Source organism: Homo sapiens, chromosome 10 (assembly GCF_000001405.40).
Source record: "Homo sapiens chromosome 10, GRCh38.p14 Primary Assembly".
In the NCBI taxonomy this organism is placed as follows: domain Eukaryota; kingdom Metazoa; phylum Chordata; class Mammalia; order Primates; family Hominidae; genus Homo; species Homo sapiens.
The window spans coordinates 104,063,860-104,086,646 of record NC_000010.11 but is presented as its reverse complement, the minus strand read 5'-3'; the positions used below and the strand labels follow the sequence as shown (position 1 = coordinate 104,086,646).

The window sequence follows — 22,787 nt, the reverse complement described above, 5'->3', positions numbered from 1 at the left end:
CTCTCTCCATTATTAGGTGGCTAAATGCCTAAAATTCCATCACTAACATGTCACTCTTTTAGGTCAGCATCACTATATCTGGTTGCCTCTTTTGTAAAACGAACCCCTACCCCACCAATTGCTCAGTACATTCAGTCATTAGCATATTATGAATTAGTTCACCAACTATTTTCTCCAGATGGGCTTGACCTGGCTTGAGTCACAAGAGGGGAAAGAGGACAAAGACATCTATAGGGGAAACAAGACAAAGGACACAGGACACAGGAACAGAGGACGAAGACATCTATAGGGGAAACAGATCTTGAATATAAATCCTGCCAACTTCAGTTTTTCTAGGGCTCAGGCAGTATGACCACAGGCCATCCATGTGCCTAGACCATGCTCATCCATGAGCCCATCCACGTGCCTAGACTCATGAATCATGCAGTGGGATTCCAGTACCCATGGCACTGAGGAAGGGTACTGCCACAAAGTTGTGGCAGTTCTCCAGCTGTAGAAGGTAGGCAATAAAAAAGCATTTCCTTTATGCTGGTCCTTTGTTTCCTTTTCCCCATGGGCCTTATAAATAGTTAATCTACCTAAGCTGGAAGGAGAAGCTTTCTGCCTCCAGTAAAGTTTGATTCCTGGAGGCAGATTTTTTTTTTAAATCCAGCAAGTGTCAGATAATTGGAAGGGTGGAGTAACGCTGTAAACCATGACACACCTTTGTCAGGACATGTTTGGAAGCAAAGAGTTGAAAGAAACAAGGTGGAGAGAAAGAAAAGTGAACATTTTTGAAAGATCACTCAGCTTTAACACACCTTGGCTGGGTCTGGATAAAAAAAAAGTGAGCACTGCAAATTTCTAGAAGAAAACATCAGGAGAAGAAAGAGAGAGGGGGATTTATTCAAAGTTGTTTCCAATTCCTTCAAAACCTCAAACCAGGTAAGTAAACAGGAAGACTGACCTTTCTCCTTTTCTCTGAGACTTTGATTTAAGGTTTGCCATTTAGAAATTAAATGTTTATTGGAGAAAAGAAGATGAAGTTCTGTAGTTTCTAGCATTCTGGTTAAAGTGATCAATTGGTTATAAAAGATGACTTTGGTGTATGCATTCTGCTTAGGGTAGGTCTTTCAAAGGAAATAAGTGGGGAAAAGGAGAAGGCTGAAGGCTGGTTAAAATATAGCGGGCTTTAGAGGCAAGACCTTTCTGCATTGTTTTCAGCATTGTAAAATGACTTGTGTTGTTTTATTTAGAATATGATACGGGCTTATAATTCCTTCTCTCCCAATCTCAGTTTCCTCTCTCGCTATCTTGCTCTCCTCTTCCCTCTGTCTCTCTCTCCACTGGACGAAGAGAACAACTCAGGGGTGAAGTTAAAGTATAGGTAAGGGGGCCTTCTAGAAACAGTCCCTGTGCTGACTGGGCCTCTCTGATTAAGCCATACATGGTAAACATTGCTGTTTACCATGCTGTAAAATTACCTCTAATCTAAAGAAAAGTAGGATCTTTGAAATGATCTGATTAATTCAGAAATTTTGCAGGATCAAACTTAGAGGAATAAAAAAAGGAAGAAAATTGTTTCCCGTATATATACTCTTACGAGTCAACTTGGGTTTCCTCCTGCCAAAAAAATTCACTTTGAGATGAGAATTACCAGTTTAGATACCTAAGTGGATGACGTTAACTGGTAACTGACAAATTATCACTTTACTTTTTGAAGTGGAGGCAAAACCTCTGGCACATTCCTTCTTTTGAGAAGTAGTTAATCAGTAGTCTAATAGTGGACTTGTAAAACGTAGCAAGATTTTTAAAAGGTATTTATTTGAAAAGCAGAATAGTTTCTTCTTACCTCCATATGTTCTCTCTTAGAGCTAAGGCACAGATCTGTCAGAACTAACCTAAGACAGATGTCTATCCCCACACAGACTCACTCCAGAGATTCAGAGGTGTCCTGCTTTACTCTTAGGCCCTGCAAAACACCCACATGAGTCTGATCAGAGTTTACACAGGAACAATTAAAGTGAACAGCTCTGCTTCAAGCTTGCATAGAAACTTACCAGCCTGGGTAACATGGCAAAACCCTGACTCTACAAAAAATACAAAATTAGCCAAGCATAGTGGTGTGCGTAGTGGTGCACACTCATATTATACTAACCCCATCTCTACTAAAAATACAAAAATACAAAAATTAGCTGGGTGTGGCGGTGCATGCCTGTAACCCCAGCTACTTGTGAGGCTGAGGCAGGAGAATTGCTTGAACCCAGGAGGCAGAGGTTGCAGTGGGCCAAGGTTGTGCCACTGCACTCCCACCTGGGCAACACAGCAAGACTCCGTCTCAAAAAAAAAAAAAAATAGGAAAAAAACTCCTTAGATTGGTGAAACTGACCTGACCTAAGAACTAACCACCTTCTCAGATTATGAAAAACAAAAAGAAGTCTGTGTTTACATTGTTTGTTTCATTTGCCATTATTAACAGTGGCAGGACACAACTGTAAACAAACCAGCATAATCACAAAGCTGGTGCCCTATCCCACCTGCTCCCAGTCATGAAAATCCAGGATACCAAATGTAGCAAGCAGCAAACCCATCTCTGGGGTGTTACAGAGACAAAGCCTCCAAGATATTCAATTCCAGGGCATTGGCTTTCCTGGCATCAAACTGCTGGGCCCTTCTGTGTTATCAGGTCAATAGCCAGTGGATGGTTTTCTAATACTTTGGCAATTTTGTTGTTGTTTTGTTTTAAAATTTAAAGTGTATAGAGAATGGAGTAATAGAAGCTATAAAAATACTTGCAATTCATTAGCAGAGTATAGGAACATTTGTTCCTAAAACAAAAAATAAAGAGAAAAATACTTAGCTTCTTCATTCTCTTTGTTGTATCAAGAACAAAGTGTTTCATGTGTCATTAGAATAAGATAATGTGATGGTTTAAACCCAAATGTGATGGTAAACAGTTAACGTGATGGTTCACTGTCACTAACAGTGGTTTGTCCTTGTGTGTGTGTGTATGTTAGACAGCATCGGCTGAATAGTTTTAGGTAGACGTGACATCATTTAAATAAAGGGGAAAGGAAAAAACTCATAAAAGTAGAAAAATGATTTAAAATTGTGTCTTCTTGCCTAGAAAAGTGACATGGGATCATTTTTACACCTTCACAAAAACATTAGCTATAAAATAGCCACAAAGCAACCCTTTAGAACTATGGATGGAAATTAGTATAATTTTGGAATTGAGAGCTTGAATGATCTGCTCATCCTTAGTTCTAGTGAAGTGGCCCAAATATCTGAGAAGTTAAAAATTATGTTATTTGACAGTGCTTCCATTAAGTAGGACTTTTGGAAGACGAACACACTGGTGAATCCTGCTAGGATAGGCAGGCTCAGGCATGTACCTGGGCAGGAAACGTTCCTTTTCCTAACGTTACACTTTTAAAAACTATCAGCACTTAAAATGTGTAAAAAAGAAGTCCTGGGAATATACTGTAGGTCCCATGGGAAGATCCTAGTCCAGGCTTGTGCCCCACGCCATCACTCTCCATTTAATATAACTCACTTATAGAAAGTTTCCTCTTATATTTCGTTTAAAGGAATCAGTCTCCCAACACGTACCTGGCACCTCAGATTGGCTGTGGAACACACAGACATTGGGGTGGCTTCAGATTGAGAGAGAGGCATCTACCTGTACCTGCCTAGAGCAGGTTATATCCACAAAGTACCTTCCAATGAGGAGCTCCCAGGCCCTGAAGGAGGGCATCTGATTTCTAAGTAGGTCATCACTTCGTGCCCTCTGGAAGTTGGGGAATCCTTAGCATTTTACTGCAGAAGTCAAGGCTTTGTCATTGGGATTCAGGGAAAAGATGGAGGGCCTAGAAATGCCTGCTATGTTTTGGATAAAGAAAGAACAAGCAAAACTTTCCAGGTTTGCTGCCTGGAGACTGTATTCTTAGCAAACAGAGTCATGATCCATCTGCCTAAATGGCTGCAAGTCGAACCCTTCCGGCCAATCCCAAATGTATAGCTGTCAGCAGCAACTTTCACTGAAAGATCAAAGTAAGCAATAACTTGTAGGAAGTAAAAGTTTCCGTGGATTGTTATAAACAGTTCATTTCAGGATAATATTTCATATCAGTTCAGGTACCATCCTAGAAAGCTAGTCACCTCCCCACTGACTGCCAGGCGCATTTAAAGGTTTAATCTCCCCAAATGCCTCCTGATCCACAGCTTATTACCTATTTTTTTAAAAGAAAGTCAGAGAAGGCTTTCAGAGGTATCAAACTGATGCTTAAACAAAGGATTGCAAAGGTGTCCAGTTGCACGTAGGTTTGCATGACATAAGTCATATAGGTTATAGCTGGAATGCAGACAGATTCACTGGTCAGATTTGTCCTTGTAATGAGGCTAGACTCCTTTGTTAAACTGTGTATGAAGCCCCTCCTCTGGGCTCCAGGAAACATACCTATAAAGACATTCTTTGGCTTCTCAGATCCAGCTAGGATTTTTTCCATTGTGCCTCATTCCTTGCCTCGAGCTGTGTTTGAAAAACACCAACGAGCAAGAAGTTGGCACATTTACTAGGGCCTGAAGCTAAGTGTACGAATCTTGGTTACTCCACCAGATCGTTGATCAGCTGGTCTCATTTGGTCTTGGTTTCCATCAGGGAAGTCACCCAGAGCCACAGTATGACTTTCACGGTCCCTAGACACTTTTGCCTTTGTAGGCCCCTTCCTCCATCAAAAAACTTTTTAAAATTCTATTTTACAACTGCACTGGTATAAAGAAGGACATAATCCTGATTAGATTCTGATTATTTTTCCTTCTGATGTTAAAAGTAAACATTTTGTGAGCCCCAAAATGTGCTGTGGGCCTAGGCACTGTGCCCACTTTGCCTACTGGGTAAGTCGAGCCTGAAGGCACTAGGCAGAGACTGGAAGGAGAGCTCTTCAAGCAAGGGGCACCTGGCAAAAGCAGTGTGCCTCAGCATTCTAGAACCCAGTTCCAACTACAACCAAAAAATAAACTAGAAGGAAGAGAAAGTTAGAGGAAGGGAGAGAACCACAGGGTAAGTCAGATTTCAGGTCCTTTCAGAACCTGGGGCCAGGCAGCACAGCAAGAAGAGAAGAGCCCAGTTGGGACGGGACCCTTGCTGTGCATTCCTGTGTGTTTAAGACTTGAGCTTTCATCCCCACCACCGTTTGGCAACAGCCCTGCCTCATACCATCCATGCTGAGGGACACAGTGGACAAGATTGCACTGGTTTTCTTTTTCAGAAGCAGAGTAAGAATGAAGGGAGAATATAAAAAATACAAATATGTATTTTCCTACATGCTTCTATAGATTTTACAGGCTTTCTTGAACTGTTTTTCATACTTATGTCTGCAGATAAGCACATGAGAGCCGATTATAGTGAATGTTTCATACTTTGAGAAGAGTAAAGTTCCATACAAGTACGACAAATATAATTATTTTTATCCTGATTTAAATCCATCAAGTGCCATTCTTACCTCCAGACTCTTAAATAATGAAGCATGAATGTCTCATATGCATAGAGTTCCATAAAGAACATTGAACATTATGGGAGACATTAAAATGAATTAGTTGATAGCACTAAGTACCTTGACAGATCCCCTTCAGCTATTTATTACCATGGAAAAGAATGGAGGTTTTATAGTCAAACAAAGGTCAGGACACCTGATCTGCTATGTAAGCCTCTTGATGCTCAGCAGGGGGCAGGCTGATCAACTAGACACTGAAAAACAAGATCCCAGCACAAAGAAATAGAATCCAAAGTGGAACAATTAAATTAACCTCTATTATACCTGTTACAAGAAATGGGAATGACTCATAAAAAATATTCACGTGAAAGAATTATGGTTTAAATTCTTGAAATCATGTTTTTGGTTATCAGCTTCAACAGTGGGGACCTATAATTACTAAAAACAATGATAAGTATGACTATCATGGTTTCTGATTTTTCCTGCAGGTGGCTATGGTATGGATGTAACCAAGAAAAACAAACGAGATGGAACTGAAGTCACTGAGAGAAGTAAGAGCATCAGAATTTTTTAATTTATGTGTTTTATTATGAAAGTAATAAAAATTTGGAAACAGAATAAGTAATTCATTAATAATTCTACCACAACCACTGTATCATGTTTAAGTGTGTTCCTAAATGGACTTTAATCCTTCTCATAAGACAGCTCTTGTTGATTTTTATGTCAAAAGATATCCTGCTTTTTCTTGAATGATGAAGGTTGTCATTTCCATGTACAGTATTTATAACCCTCATTTTTAATGATGGGATAGGATTCTGCTAAATGAATTCACCATAGTTTATTTTATCATTTCCAAATTTAGGGGTACAGGGCAACAGAAATCTAAACGAATAACATCCTAGTTATTGTATCATAGTTGACCTCTACGCTGAAAATTGAAAACAAATAAATTTATTTTGTGGAACTGCCCAAATAATAAATTCAGAAACATTTAAACTCTCCTCCTACCAACTCTAAGTCAGGAAACTCTTTCACTTATTCTGTGACTTTCATATATCTCCAATAAAAAAAAAATTCTGGCTCCATAGACTTGAAAGTTTTAGTTAGGAAATAATTCACTTTTATGTGTCAAAGAATCCCAAAGGTCTATACAATGAGAGGTTCTATACAATGAAAGCTGAAGGACTATTATTCAAATCAAGCTGCCACTGCACTCTACAAAAACATTTCCTTTTTTTTTTTTTTTGAGACGGAGTCTTGCTCTGTTGCCCAGGCTGGAGTGCAGTGGCGTAATCTTGGCTCACTGCAACCTCCACCTCCCAGGTTCAAGCCATTCTCCTGTCTCAGCCTCCCGAGCAGCTGGGATTACAGGTGCCCACCACCACACCCAGCTAATTTTTTGTGTTTTTAGTAGAGACGGGGTTTCACTATGTTGGCCAGGCTGGTCTCAAACTCCTGACCTCGTGATCTGCCCGCCTCGGCCTCCCAAAGTGTTGGGATTACAGGCGTGAGCCACTGCGCCCAGCCAACATTTCCTTTTATGCATTAAGTACTGTTTCTGGCATGTCCATAACCGCATCTTCTTGCTAGGACAACCAAACTAATTAGCAAAATGCAGTATGAAGAAGGACAGTGTGAATGAGAGTCATGTGGGATGGAGCAGGTGTCAGCGGCACAGCTGAAAGTAGCACAAAATGATCCTGCACCATCTTCCTTTACTCTTTTCTCCTTTCACCACCTTCCCCACACGTATGTGCCCATGCATGCCACACACACACACACATACATGCACACATACACACATGCATGCATGCATACAAGCACACTGGAAACCTGATATCAAAGAACAAAAGCCCCAGATAGGTAGGGTCTTCTGTATACCCACCAGAGACGGAGGTAGTGCTGAGGGCCACAGTCAGAGCATGAGTGATGGATTCACCATCTCTCAGACCTACAGGAACTAAATTTCAGAGGCCAAGGGACTGGTTCTTCAAGTCTGTCTGTGATGTGCCTGGATCACTGATTTTGCCAAACCCCAAATGTGACTTACCAGGAGCACCCTTCCTTCCCACAACTCCCCACATTCAGGGGTTGCCCTGAAGACATTAGAACGAAACATAATGTTCTTAAACACCTCCAAATTCATGAAGAAGTACACAGTGAAGTCAGCTAGGGTGTTGGTCTCAGCTGAACTGAGAGACCATGGGGAAGGAGAAATGCAGAGAAACGGAGTGACTTGAGACAAGAGGGCCTGGTCCTCCTTCAACCTCAGACCAGGCCTGGACTGGATCTAATTGTCCAAGGAGAGACATCAACAGCAAAACAACTCATGTTTCAAACGCAGTGCATAACTTCTTTTGGCTCCAAAGAGATATAAACTTATTTTCCAAGCATATGAAACCCATTGTTGTTGCTCATATCTTTTTGCACAGTGGGTCAGATCACACACCTTAAAGCACAAGGATAGAAAAATCAATGTCGAACCTAATTTAATATGCTTAGCCTGTGACAGAGCTTAGACCTTGCCAAGATCCAGAGGTGTCAGTGCATTACATAAGAACTCATCTTTTCTTTGTCTTTTTCTAGTTGTCACTGAAACAGTAACCACAAGACTTACATCCTTACCACCAAGTAAGTAACTACCTCAATAGCTTTCTTTTCAGTAGGTCACATTTGAAGGGCCCCACACCTGTAACCTTTTCCATGGGAGCTCCAAAATTTTTGACATCTTTTTTAACAGCTATATTGACATTAATTTCTATACAACAGAATTCGCCAGTTTGAAGTGTATAATTCAGTGATTGCTAGTATATTTACCAAGTTATGCAGCCATGGTTACAGTCCAATTTTAGAAGATTTCCATGGCTCCACAAAAAGAAGTGACCATTAGCAGTCATTCCTCATTCTCCCTCCTCTCTCCTCAGCCCCTGGAAACCACAAATCTACTGTCTCTGTAGATTTGCCTATTCCAGATGCTAAAATATTGGATATCTGATCTAACCTGAACAAGGATTGGGGGCTACCAGTCAAGCTTCTGGTTGAGGCTACTTTTTTTTCCAGGAGCTCCTATCACTCCTGTAATATTGATCTGAGCCCAAAAGCTACCCCCTGCCCCCGCCTCCAGGGAGCCTAGTTCCCTGGGGATGGGGAGAGCCCACCCACCAGCAGGTGAAGTCGGAGCAGTGATGGGCTGCCAGGTGGAACACCAGCAACACAGAGCTGCCACACGCCCCTCCAGCACTTCTAGTGGCTGCCATGCCTGGGCACTGACCAGGCACTCAGAAAAAGCAAGCCCAACCAGGTCCTGGACTCAAGGAGCTTTCATCGCTCAGCCTTTTCTACTATTTAAAATTTCCTAATATGCAACTTGCTATATTCCACCCAGGAGACTTTTCTTTTAAATCAGGTGGAATACTCACTCTAGATATTTGTATAAAACAAAACAAAACAAAACAAAACAAAACAAAACAAAAAACCAACGAAACTGGAGCATGGCAGCTTGCATCTTATAATGTAGGTGGGAAAGGAACCCCAAACTAAGAAGGTCCTGGTGAAAAACCAGGGAAGCCTTCCACAGGGTGGGGGACCAGGGGATCCTCTGGCCTGACTCCACCCTGAAATTATCACCTGCTTTTGTTCCTGGCAGAAGGCGGGACCAGCAATGGCTATGCTAAAACAGCCTCTCTTGGTGGAGGGAGCCGGCTGGAGAAACAAAGCCTGACTCATGGCAGCAGCGGCTACATAAACTCAAGTGAGTGCCCACTAGTGCAAGAGGTCAGGGAAGAATGGGTGACAAAGAGAGAGACACCAAGAAAGTCCTACACAGGACACAGGGCAGACACAATTTTGAATCAGTGCACAAAAGGGACAATTACAATCACCTGTCATCCATTCCAAATCCCCCTGAGAGTTATCTAAATAACACACAGCTATTGGGCAGCAGGGCTGGAGACCGGGGGTGCAAATTATAAATCATCAGCATTTGAAGCCTACTTAAAATCAGATCCATTTTCATTAAGTCCACAATATAAATAACTATCATTAATTAAGACTTCATGGGTAGGTAGCTATTTCCTCACTAAATCACTCCCTTTAAGCCATCTCTTTAGAGAACAATGTGCACGCCTGAGGGTTTACAATTTGAATTAACAACGAAAGAAACTTAACGATTGGGTTACTGTGCTAAGGGAAGCTGGTGACATGTGATCCCATGCTGTGCAAGATTCCACTGGGCAAGCATCCAACACAGGCCCATTGTTCCCAGTGAAGCACTCTTTCAAACTAAAACAAAACAAAGCAAAGCAAGGCAAAAACAAAACAAAAACAAGAAGCACCCAGATAGCCCCTGAAGCCATTTAAAATACTTGGAAGTAAGACTAAAAAGGAAGCCCCAAGACATTAGAACAGCCAGGTTGACCAAAAGAAACACCTGCCCTTACCTGTTGAGGCACACTTCCACGCTGGATTATATTCTAGTCCATCCAAGCAGTGTCTACAAGAAAAATCCTGCCAAATCCTTTCCATTTCCATGCATGGTAACCATGCACAGGAAGGACGTTCCCAGGCAATAATTCCACCTTTCCATTTGTGAACAGCTGGGGGAATGCTGAGGTGGCCCCTTTCAGCTGTGCCCTCCCGAAGACCCTCCCTGAGTGTACTTGGTTAATATAGCTGGGTCACAGTAGCCATTTGGTTCACCTCTCTGCTGAAGCACTGAGAACTTATGCTTTTTCCCTCTTGCAGCTGGAAGCACACGAGGCCATGCCTCCACCTCTAGTTACAGGAGGGCTCACTCACCTGCCTCCACTCTGCCCAACTCCCCAGGCTCAACCTTTGAAAGGAAAACTCACGTTACCCGCCATGCGTATGAAGGTATCAGTCCCACTAACCATACAAGAGAACCATTCTCTTCCCCAAGCAACTTCACTCATTCTTTGAAGATTTACATGCTGGCCACCTGTGTCTGCCCTTCACCTTTCTCCCCACTCCTCCTTCATTTCTTTTATGGACTTCCATTACTTGAAGACTTCATTCATTCATTCACTACCTCATTTATTTATTCATTCACCCATTTAGTTACTTTTCCAACTAGTATTTTATCCAGTACCTGCTATGCGTTTAACACTGTGTAGAATGCCTTGACGAATGCTTAAATGAATCAGACATAGATCTTGTCTTCAGGACCTGTAGTCTAATAGACAAGTTAAGATGACAGATAAAATACAATTGTATAAAGTAGATGGAGATTATCACTTTAAGCTGAGGAAATCGGGGAAAATTCTATGGAGGAGGGGACATCTGAGCGAGGTCCTCATGACGAGTAAGAGTTTGATACCCAAAGATGGAGAGATGGGACTGTCCAAGCTGTGGGAGCAGCAGCATAAGCAAAGACAGCCAGGAGAGCCCAGGGCTTAAGTCGGAAATTCAGTGGTACTTACGTGCAAAAGGTTTGAGGGACTCAGATTCAGTGCTAGGATAAGATGTTTAGACTTTATTCCATATGCAATGGGAAGCCACAGAGAGTTTTTAGCAAAACAATCATATTTTAGGTCCAGGACTGGAACTCTGGAAGCCATGTGTTGGAAAAATTGGTGAGAAAGAGACTAAACACAGTGACAAGTTAAAAAGAAATCCTCGGTCATCCAGAGAAGGGACATTTTGGCTGGGACCAGGTTGGTAATGATGGAGGTCAGGAGCTAGAAGTGAAAGTTATCACTGAGGTGGAATTGACAGGTTTGGCAATTGATTAAATGTAAGGAGAAGGCTTCACACACAGGTTGGGTTCTTGGTGGTGCCAACAACTGAAACAGGGAATTAGATGGATGACTCCACTTGATGAATCCAGCTAATTCATCCTGAAGCACAGCCACTTGCCCAGCTCTCTGGCGAGGGTAGCAAGCAGGCAGTGGGTGATGCAGGATTTGAGTTCAGGGAAGAAGTCAGGGCCCAGATACCCAGGTGGAAGCCATTCGCAAAGAGGTGTTAGAGGAAGTCAGAAGACTAAAGGAGTTTGCCAAGAAAGAGAGTATAAAAGTTGAAGGAAGCAAAGGAAGGTAAAGCGGAGGGAATAAGGAGAAAGAAAAGCCAGAGAACAGAGAGAGGAGGAAGAGTCTTTTAGGGACAAGGGGAGACCAGGAACATACAGCAATGCTGAGGTCAACACAAGAGAGTGCTCAGGGTCAAGAAGGAGTCGTAGAAGAAGACACCTGAGTTCCATTACTAAGGTTCCTGGAGTTCCTGGTGATCTGCAGAAGCAGTTTTATGTGGGAAACTGACCAGCCAGGTGGCCAAGGAGTTTAACAGTGAGAAGAGATTGGTGCTGGTGTTGGAGAAGCAGGAGTAAGGCCCAGACACTCTAGTGAATGATCACAGCGGGCTAGCATCCCACACGCACAGCAGACTCCCTCCTGCCGCTGCAGGACAAGAGCTGCTGGGCTGTTGGGAAGCCCCAAATCCAGGTGAGGTGGATTGCATCATCACAGTGCTTTCTGAGGTCGGGCCTGACCAGGGATTTGTACCTTCATTTTAACTGGGTCCACGTTTGGGACAAGCCTCATAAGGTCAGAGAGGTTCCTGGTGCTGAGGGCAGGTTACTTGATCAGGGCAGGTCACTTGCTCTAGGACAGACACAGGACAAGCCGGTGGAGGAACTGAACAAAAAAGAAAGAAACCAAAACCTCCTGCTCTCCTTTGTTCATCCCTGCCTCATCTGAAGTAGGTCCTTGACCAGAGCAAAGTGCTGCGACCAGGGCCATGATGGGTCGTGTTTTACATCATGAGCCTGGCTCCTTTGACATGCATGCTGAAGAGCATACCTCATTCCCCCCTGAAACACTGAGGGCTGTGGAGGTCCAGAAATAAGTAACAGGCACTACCTCCCGTTTTGGAAGCTTTATGGGCCTAAGAGGCCATTTGTTCTAAGTGTTTCATCCCCTCTCCAGGGAGCTCCAGTGGCAACTCTTCTCCGGAGTACCCTCGGAAGGAATTTGGTATGTCCTCTCCTTATTTTCTAAAGAAATGGTCAAACGAGGCACTAGGAAAATCCCTGGGGGAGATGAAGTGGTGGGAGTAGGGGACCTCATGAGTTAAATGGATTCTTCTAAAAGAGTTTGACCCCTGCTGACCTATTTTTCCCTTGCTTTTTATCCTGAAGCATATTAAGGGGACTATCAGCCACATTAACTTGCTGTCATAAGCCTTTGCTCGTGGCACTATAGAAATGGTAAGCTATATATAAGGCTCAGGCTTGGATGGATAAGCCCCTAAGGCCAAGCAATAATTGTAGGGATTCTTCTTTCCATGAGATGCACAGAGGCCTCCCAAAGAAGCAGAGCAGCGAGTAGAACACACAAATGCCAGGCATCCCGGCACCTCCACTATTGCTTGCTTTCAAGGGAACTGCGTGTGCTTCATGAACCCCCAAGCTGTGTCTTCACTTGGCCTTAAGTTTTTGTTCCATGTTCTTGGAATCTCACTGTGCATATGAATTGATGCCAGGATCATTGGTTATACAGTGATTATAATTTTCTGTATTTGCTTACAGTGGGGAAACCATGGCAGTCTCGAATAAAAAATCAAAGGGAAGACTTGGGAGCTTTTTGATACATTTGATCAGTGTAGTCAGCCAGTCCAAATGGATCATGCTCCCCAACAGATTACCTTAGCTAACTTAACATTCAAAATGTTAGCTAACTTAACATTCATTTAGCTAATTTAACATCATAAATGTACTAGGGCATTGCAAAACATTCTCTGCTGTTGCTAAGTGATCATCATTTATTAAGCAACTGCTATACAGAAAAGCCCCTATCTGGATTTAGACACACTATGAAAGTAACCCCTCCCCAAATATATCTGCCTCCATGTCAAAAGTATTTAGCATGCCACCTCTTATATATGCCTAAAAATGCATTTCTTTGTTTCTCAGCATCTTCTTCAACCAGAGGACGGAGTCAAACACGAGGTGAGTGCTGTCACTGGGTTCAGTCCAATTCATTCAACAAGTATTTTCTGAGAAGTTAATGTGTGTCCAGCCTTGAGCCAGGGAGTGTAAGGAGTACAGAAGAATAAATAAGGCATGCTTTCTGCTTTCGAGGAGCTTAGAGTATCCTGGGAATCTTCCACCGGCTCTATCGGGAGGGGAAGGGTAGCTTTTGACAGTAATCTAACAAGCACGTAGAGGCAGGAAGCAAAACACATGATAACAATGTGGGGCATCATTTGTCTTGCTGTGGATCATCTGAAGATGCAGATACCACATCTGCTTTCACTTCTGGTCTCCTGGCTGACTTTAACAAGATATGCTCTAATTGCCTTTACACGTCAAAAGATGAGCAAAATCTCCCCAAATTTTTTTTCAAAATTCATCCAGGAGATAAACAGCTCCATGACAGTTTTGTAATCTAGTCATGTAGACAATGATATAGGAGAGAAATGTGGTCCTGGGAGAAGCAGCCCTTGCTAAGCTTTGGGCAGGGTAGGGGGCAGCATGTTAGGGCTGAGCTGAAGGCAGAATTCTTCACAATGACCCACCTAGACTTCCTATGGGCCTTATTATCATCAATAACTTGGAAGTTAGGAGTATGCCAACCACTCACAACTTTAGGCTGATAGTTGAAAGATGCCAATTCTCCACCTGAAGCTAACTAATAATGTTAGCTACCAGCTTCCTGCCCCTCCCATCTCTGAAGAGGCCAAAATGGCAAGTAAACACTCTGGCTTTTAGAATCTTTTGCCAATGCCTGAGACCATGGACGCAGGAGAGAACCTTGGTTCTGGCAGCCATGAGGTGGATGATGGGGAAAGGATTGACCATTGCTGATTGTACTGGAACCTCCTTGCTCAGCCTGGAATTTTATTAGAACATCTCCAGCTGCCTGGGAGGTATGCAGTTGGCAGGATGGGGAATTGTTGGAGGTAGGGAGGTCTCCCTTTTTAAGCAGCACTCTTCTTGGGCACACCTAGATTTCCTGTTTCCAGAGCTCAGAAATGTCAGAGCAGCCTAAAGGGCCATCTGCTGCTAGGAGTTCAGTGTCAGGGATTGTGATCTAAGCTCCTTCATTCACACCCTTCTCTATCTCTTCCCTTGTACAGAGAGTGAAATTCGAGTTCGACTGCAGAGTGCGTCCCCATCCACCCGATGTAAGTGGTCATGATCTTGCTGAAAAGAAAGGGTCCAGAAATCCAGGGCTAGTGCTGTGTGTGTGTGTGTGTGTGCATGCGTGTGTGTGTGCATGCATGCACACACATGTATGTACATGCATGCAATCATAAAACATCTTTAAGGGTCTTCTGTGAATTGGACCCTGGGTTAGGTGGCTGGGGTTAAGCCGCTGAGTAAACCGTGGTTCCTGCTGTGTAGTAGTTCACAGACTAATAGGGAGACAGTAAGTCAACCAACCATCGCAACTCAGTGTGGTGAGGGAACAGGGAGGAGCAGCTCCACGGCAGCCCATGGAGATCAGGCCAGAGAAGACTTCCCGGGGTAGGTGTTACCTGAAAGGAAACTGAACAGTGGATCAGTTCGGCTCAAAGGGATGAGCCTGCATGAGGCATCGAAGGAACAGTTCAAAGCAAGGACATAATGGGATAGTTTAAGATTAGAGAAGGGTCAGTAGTAGAGTATAAGAATTTGAACTTTATTTCAAATGTCAGAGACCCCCCAGTCTCTGTCGATGGAATATGTTAGATACCTGTTGTTCTTGCTAGAGGTATTTAACAACGTTTTGAAATGAGCTCAACTTTAGGACAGCAGTCATGTTCAAGGAGTAGAAGAAAGAACATGGTCAGTGGCTCAGGACAGAGATGGGTGCTTGTCCAGAGAGCTCAGTACCTAGGGTTGTGGAGTCTGACTCCAGGCCCGACACCTTCTCACCTGAGTCCTTCCAGGCTTAGGGGTGGTGAGGCGAAGGGAGTTGGGGTTGAGAGTTCCTTCAGCATACAGTGCCTGCAAACCTGTGTCTCCTCTCATGCACTCCCCATGCATCCTCTCATGCACTCCCCATGCATGGTGCCTCCCACCTCTCCTGCTTCCCTGCTTCCTGTATGGGAGGCACAGGGAGCTTGCTCCACTTTTCACCTTGCTACAAATTAAATCAGCCAGATAGACTTGAAATTAAATCACACGTGAACACAGCATAATATTTAGGAGTTATGGCCCACAGATTCCTTTTGACAGCCCCAGGCATACAAGGTCAAGGACCCAATATCAGATGCATCCTGTGCAGGGGATGAGACTGCTGTTGAAGCATCTGTTTCAAGGGACCTGGTTCTCTAACTGCCTGATCCTAGATAATAGTGTCTTCCAGCCACAGAATCATTCCTGTGATGTTTGATGAGGTCTAATTAGGAAATATCTCCCAAGCACCTTGACCTCCTTGTGAGACGCAGAAGATTTTTGAGGCTAATATGACAAAGTACCAAGTTGATAAGTGCTATTCATTAGTAAAATGTGAATATTATAAAGCCAAGCAAAAAGTTCCAATGTGTGAGGCAGATGCCATTCTCCCCAGTAGTCAGAATGCCACAAATGTTCCCCCCAGTTGCACAGGGACTCAGGAAAGAACTCTGGACTTAACAGAAACGTCTGTGGATTCTTTCACAGGGACAGAATTGGATGATGTTAAGCGTTTGCTCAAGGGGAGTCGATCGGCAAGTGTGAGCCCCACCCGGAATTCCTCCAACACACTCCCCATCCCCAAGAAAGGCACTGTGGAGACCAAAATTGTGACAGCGAGCTCCCAGTCGGGTAAGTCTGACAGCCCAGGCTGCCGAGGAGTGTGAGAAACAAACTTACCCATCCAAACCCAAAGAGTGGACTCAGAGACCCAGAGAACAGTGAAAGTGAGACTTGAAATTGGGGCCCACCAAATCTCATTCCAGCTAGCACAGGGCTTTCCCTAATAGCAACCTGTTTTAGGGCATAGATATTTGTTTGCTTGTGACAGCTGCCTTTGGTTTCCTAAATTCCCACAATGTAAGACTCAGCAGGCATTGAATTTTATGGTTTAGGGGGTAGAGGTTTTAGTTATGTTGATTATTAGATTGATTGGATATTCCCTACTTTCCACCCCTAGTACTGGGCCCTATCCAATACTCAGGTCTTCTTTTGTGTGTTAGGATTAATCCTAACCATATCCACCCCTAATGAAGGGGTTTGCTTATAGCTCTCTTCTAGGTTTTCCTTAGAGTTAGCTTTAAGTGTTCCTTAGGTGATTTATACACTTCCCATTTGCCCTTTTCCCTTCCTTCTTGGGTTTCTTTTACCAGTCCCTTGAGTGTAATGAGTTCACCCTCGTTTAGCTGTTCGTTGTCACGTTTCAGTGGTTAGGACCACTTGATAGGGACCTTGGCAGCTTGGGTGGGGCTTATCTTCTTTTCAAGTCTTAATTAGCACCGAGATGCCAGGCTGGAAGTGGTGAACTGTGAACTCAAGAGGCGGGGTTTGAGTTCGAAGTCCTTTTAAGCTAAAGGATGACAGGGTGGAGGATATGGCCAGTATATGATTTCTTAAAAACTGGTTTTTGGTTTCCATAGTAGGAAGATCAGTAGTCCTATCTAAATATGGGAGTCCATATCATAACTTGTAAGGGGACAGTCCAAAGTCTTTGCTTGGGGCTGTTCTAATCCTAAGGAGTGCTACTGGGAGACATTCGAGGCATTTTAGTTGTAAAGATTAGTTTAGTAATATGCTTTTTGAGAATTTGACTTATTCTTTCTACTTTTCCAGAGGAAGGGGGATGCCAAGGGGTATAGTAATCCCATTTAATGTGTAAACTTTCCATAATTCCCCTTAGCACCCTTGAGGTAAAGTGATACCCATTGTCCGAATTAATATTTTTTATCAAGACAAATCTAGGTATAATTTGTTTTAAGATTATTTTTACCACATTCCTGGCGGTGGCAGTTGGGAGGTGGAATTCCTCCACCCAGCCGGAGAGGTGGTTTACCATTACCAGTAGATACTTTAGTCTCCCTATTTTGGGCATTTCTGTAAAATCTACTTGAATGCTTTGAAATGGCCTTAACCCAGGAGGTCTTCCTCTGGTAGTCTGTTTTCTAACTACTTTTTTGTTTATTCTCTGGCAGGTTACACAACACCCACACACTTGTTTAGCAAGGGTATAGATCCCTATACACCCATAATTTTTTAGTATTGCATCACACATATCCTGGGGACCCCAGTGAATTCCTTTATGCAGTATGGACATCAGTTTTCTCATTATGGGTTTGCTTATCATTTCTCTCCCATCAGGGAGCACCCACCTCCCATCCTCAGTTTGAGTGGCCCCTATCTTGCCCAGCTCTTCCTCCTCCTTTTTAGAAAATTTGGGTTTTAATATCACCTTAGGGATCTGTGGGATTAGGCTAAACAATCTAACTTCTTCCTCCAGGGAAGCTTGCTTAGCAGCTTTATCTGCAAGCCTGTTCCCCACAGCTTCTATAGTTTTGCCTATGGCTATCTCTGCTAGAAGCAAGAGGCTTTTTAAAACTTGTTTGATCAGTTCCCCATGTACAAATTCTTTCTCCCTGCTATTTATTAGGCCCCGCTCTGTCCAGATCTTTTTAAAGGTGTGTACTATTCCACAGGCATATTTGGAATTAGTATATACAGTGCCTTCTTGGCCTTCTAGAAGCTTGAGGGCCTGGTTAAGAGCATGTAATTTACAGGTTTGGGCTGACCAATTATTGGATAATCTACCTTTTTCACATAAGGATTATTTGTTTCCATTAATGACAGCATAGCCATTGTGTTTTTTACCATTTATTACTTGGGATGACCCATTTACAAACAGTCTCATCCCATTATGTAATGGGGTGGTTTAACTTTAGTTTGATATTAAGGTCTGGTTTAACTTTAGTTTGACATTCTATGATATCCAGTTATGATTTGATGCCTCTTTATTCTCCTCTCCTTTTCATAAGAAGCTGGCTGGATTCAAGAAAATACATGTTGTCAAGACTAAATTATCTTTTTGTAATAATATGGCTTCATATTTTAAAATCTGGGAATTAGTTTACCATCTCCCAACTCTTTGATTTAATATATTCCTGACCTGATGTGGGGTGCTCACTACCAGGGCCCTGCCGAAGATCAACTTCAGACTCCCCTCCGCCAGCAGGGCCATGGCAGCCACTGCCCACCTGCACCTTTGTCTCCCCATCTCCCGTCTTACATGGCCTCTCTCTCTTTCCCTGTCTCTCTCTCTTCCTCTTGTACTCTTTTTTCCTTTTACATTATGTCTCTCCCCAGTTTCACCTTCTGTGTCTTTGATCTCTGTCTTTTCCCGTCTCTTTCTCTTTCGCTTATTTTCTTTTTTCTTTTTTTTTAATCTCTCTGTCTCTGTCATCCCTGTTTTCTCTTTCCCTTACACTCAGTTTCTTCTTCTTTCTCTGGGCGCCAGCGCACTCGCCATGTTAACAGCTTACTTACATTAGCTCTCTCACACTGTCCACCTTTATCTCGGCTGTTTGCTTCGGCTCTGCAGCTCCTGCCGCCCCCACACCTGCAGCTGCACAGCCGGCTCCCTTGCCTTCAGGGTCAGCAGCTTAACTCTTTCTCTCTCTGAGCACCAGCGTGAGCCATGCCGTGGCTCCCCTCTGTCCGTCTGCAAGATGGACAGCTTTGGCTTTCTCTCTTTCTCTTTTTCCAATTCGTTTCTTACTTTTCGCAAAAACCTTCTAATTCCTTAATTGGCTTTTTATTCCATCCATCAACTTTTTTGCAGTTTCTTAGTAATATCAGGCCAGCTTTTAGTCATAAAATTAACCTTTAAAAGGCCTTGCCCTACTAGGTCCTCTGGATGTAATCCTGATTTTTTTTTTTTTTTTTTTTTTTTATTCCTGAGCCTCTGCAGAAATGCAGAGGGAGTCTCCTCTTTTACTTGTTGAAGCTCGAATGCTTTTGAGACATTCTGTGTCCTTGAAGTGGACTCTTTAATCCCTTTAATTATTCGTTCCCTTAGGTCCTGCATTTGGGCCCGATCTTTGGGGTTATTGTTATTCCATCTGGGATTTGCATTTAGGAATTTCTGCTCAGCTGGCGGGACTCCTTGCCCGAGAGGATGCTGTCTTTCCCAAATGGTCATGGCTGCCCTTTTAATTATTCCCCTCTCTTCCTCAATAAACAGAATAGTCATGATTGACATCATCTTAGCCCAAGTACAAAAATTGGGTCCTAAAAATTGATCTAGCTGCTTTGCTACACCGAGGAGATTTTCCAAGAGCGGCCTTATTTCCTATTTAAAATTCCTAACCTTAGTACTTGTTAGAGGCACACTTACATATCCAACTTCTCCCTGTCCCATAGGGACTTCTCTAAGAGGGTACATATTAGACATCTGCTGTTTAGAAGGAATAGGGAAATTCTCAATGTCCTTCTTACATTGTTCTAATTCTCTCCTCAAGTTTGGATAAGGATTTACGGGAGCATTGGGTTTAGCTTCTTTATGATCCCCAGATTCCTCTTCCTCCAGCCTTCCTGTTACTCCCTGATCTCCCTGTCCTCTACTTTGTGAGATGTAAAGTGGAGGCAAGCGTGTTATGGGATTCCAGAGCTTTTTATTGGGTGAGGGCTTTTTACTATGCTCTTTTTTTTCCTCTTGAAGCGGGAGCATGGGGGTTAATTCACTAATTTAACAAAGAGCATAACCCGTCTCCTCTTGTGAGGATGGGGTTTTATTATTCACATAGAGAATTAAAGCTTGGCACACCCAATCCTCGTCTGAGCCAAACTTAGGCCAAAAGACTGAAGGCTGATGAATGGGCTCTTTGGCCCAGATAAAACAGCAATACTTTATCATTTTTTGCTTTTCCTTGTCCCTGGTTCAAGGGTTAGCCCTTAAAAACCTGCAGCATTTTCCTTAATGGACTATTTGGGAGAATGTTAGAGGGTGTCTTTTTAGTTCCCTCTTTTGTTGGGCAGGGGCTTTAGGTGTTTGTTTAGGGTTGTCTTGGTGCATTTTGTTGCAGCCCACAATGCATTGCAATCCTAGTTAGCTTAGGGGCTCTTCAAGTATTTGACTTATGACCTAAGTAGCTGGGCAAGCTGATAAGAACAGACAAAAATGAGCTATTTTGCAGTCTAGTAAACTTTTACCTTAGACTAAACTTCTTTGGTCTGAGTGAGGGAAACTAAGTGGGGGGACCTGGTGGGGAAGGGGAGACCAACAAGCAGGCATTAGCTATCCAAGCAGGGGCCTAGTATATCCTGTTTCTTCTGTAGTTTGCTGACCTAAGCTGATTTAAGAAACTTTGTCTTGGAAATGGACCACTGTATACATTATTTCCTTCAGGAGAAAAGGCAACAAGGTGGCAGATCTATCCTGGCCTGGGGATTCAACCACGCCTTGGCAGGCCTTTCAGGCTTTGCCAGAGACCTTGAAAAGCACTGAGCACCTTCTCTTCAAGCAGTGAAAAAAGTGGGCTGTACCTATCCTACCCCTGGCTGGTCACCCATTCCATATGCATAGCCCAGCCCTAAATCCTAGAGATTCTCTCCCAGGACAGTATGTTGGCCAGATCCCCCAAATGAAGAATACTGGGGAAATGTGTAGAGTTTTCGTGTATTCATTCAGTGACTATTTATTAAATGTCTCCTCTATGCCAAGCACCAGGCATTGAGGAAAAGCAATGGACAAGAGAGACACAGTCACTGCCCTTGTGGACAGTGGGTCTCTGGAGGAAGTCAGAAAACCAACATGTCCCAGTCAAGTAGGATGAGCATTGTTCAGCTGTTCCATATTACATGTCCCCCAAGTGCAAGATAGGTTCTGTGGAAGGCAGAAATATAAATTAGCAGAGCCGTGGAGGGAGGTGAGGGAAAAAGCTAGATCTACTATGATAGGAAACATCCCTCCCATTCACTACTGGAGAAAAGCCTAGAGATTGTGATCTTTCTTGTTTTTCACCCTAAAACCAAAACATCAGGGCACTTTCTGACCTGCATGGCTGGCTCCCTCTCACAGACAAATATGCAGAACTGGCCCCAAATATGAAGAAGCAGGAAAATCCTCTCTTGGGGGCACAGTGTCTGGCTGGTACATAGGAATGTTTAAGGAGGGTGGAACCAGAGAAGGCTGCCAGGCATGCAGTGTGGCCCCAGACCAAGGACTCCCCTGCCCAGGCATGCACCCTGCAATGGCCATGGTGCCTGGAATTCTACTGAAAGAGGTTCTCTTCGGGGTCTCATTTGTTGCTCCTGAAAGAACTGTTCCCTCAGCGTCTTTGAAGATGGAGGAGTTGGCAACAGCTGGAGAGGAATGCCATTGGTGGGACAGCCCACCAGGAGATGGGGAGCCAGGTTTAGAAGGAGAAATTGTTGGACCCCAAGGCAAAATTTGGCTACCTCAGATTTTACCAGGAGCCAGCAAAAATTTCTAATCCAAGAGATAATGATTTCACCAGCTCTGAGATTTCAGATGGAAACTACCCCAGGTTCCTGGACTGAGAAAGTTCCTGAAATGTGGGGCTTTCAATGCCCAAACCAGGAAATCCCAGCAAAATGAGGTGACTAGATTCCCCAGCAGGGAGTGTTGATTTGTCTCTCACTGGGGTGTGTGCATGTGTCTGTTTCCAGTGTCAGGCACCTACGATGCAACGATCCTGGATGCCAACCTTCCCTCCCATGTGTGGTCCTCCACCCTGCCCGCGGGGTCCTCCATGGGGACCTATCACAACAACATGACAACCCAGAGCTCATCCCTCCTCAACACCAATGCCTACTCTGCGGGATCAGGTACCTGGCGGGCAGCCCACACCCTCTCTCACCCCTGAACTCGGCATGCCTCTATCCTGGAGCTGGATGACCCTCAGAATGTTTGCCATCCTCAGGGCCTCCTGGAGAGGCTTTCTGTGGCCAAACATCCCAGGAGATTCCCCCTGGAACTTCAGTTCAATTCAATCTAGAAGGTATTGCTTCTGGTGCGTCCCCTTTAGAATATATAGCACGGTGTATCAGGAAAACTGGAAAGAACACTGAAAATGGATGTAGGAGATCTAGTTTCATTTCATATGAATTGACGGTGGAGCCTTGAATAAGTCATTTGACTTCTCTGAGCTTCAGGGACCATCTCTGTAAAGTGGGGTCACTCACAAGAGAGCCTTTGGCTGGACCCACTGTCCACTCCAGGTTTGACAGACCTGAGATCACCTGTTGGCTGTGACCCAAGGTGCAGTGCAGGCTAGTGTTTCATTCTCTGCTGCAAGGCAAGAGCCTGTTTTTCCTAAAAACAAAAATTTACCAAAATATAAAAACCCAATCCTGGCATTTCTTCTGGTGCTTCTGTGGTATCCAAATCTCTATCCCTATCTGGG

General features: G+C 43.7%; 1 protein-coding gene across 1 annotated transcript in view, besides 2 other annotated features; it reads left to right on the top strand.

The window, feature by feature from the left end:
- The window catches only part of COL17A1 (collagen type XVII alpha 1 chain), a 54,595-nt gene continuing 32,574 nt past the window's right edge, over positions 767-22,787 (top strand). The window contains exons 1-10 of the mRNA NM_000494.4: positions 767-924; positions 5,963-6,025; positions 8,061-8,105; positions 9,121-9,225; positions 10,218-10,346; positions 12,416-12,463; positions 13,402-13,437; positions 14,568-14,615; positions 16,078-16,221; positions 22,051-22,209. Coding sequence (NP_000485.3) covers positions 5,974-6,025; positions 8,061-8,105; positions 9,121-9,225; positions 10,218-10,346; positions 12,416-12,463; positions 13,402-13,437; positions 14,568-14,615; positions 16,078-16,221; positions 22,051-22,209 — 766 coding nt within the window. The 5' untranslated portion in view covers positions 767-924; positions 5,963-5,973. The remainder of the gene's footprint in view (positions 925-5,962; positions 6,026-8,060; positions 8,106-9,120; positions 9,226-10,217; positions 10,347-12,415; positions 12,464-13,401; positions 13,438-14,567; positions 14,616-16,077; positions 16,222-22,050; positions 22,210-22,787) is intronic.
- Positions 18,399-19,053: an enhancer, noted in NCBI's record as "H3K27ac-H3K4me1 hESC enhancer chr10:105827352-105828006 (GRCh37/hg19 assembly coordinates)". NCBI's record gives its function as "activates a minimal SCP1, AML or CMV promoter by ChIP-STARR-seq in naive and primed H9 embryonic stem cells {active_cell/tissue: H9 hESC(naive and primed)}" and the evidence as "EXISTENCE:reporter gene assay evidence [ECO:0000049][PMID:30033119]".
- Positions 19,054-19,709: an enhancer, noted in NCBI's record as "NANOG-H3K27ac-H3K4me1 hESC enhancer chr10:105826696-105827351 (GRCh37/hg19 assembly coordinates)". NCBI's record gives its function as "activates a minimal SCP1, AML or CMV promoter by ChIP-STARR-seq in naive H9 embryonic stem cells {active_cell/tissue: H9 hESC(naive)}" and the evidence as "EXISTENCE:reporter gene assay evidence [ECO:0000049][PMID:30033119]".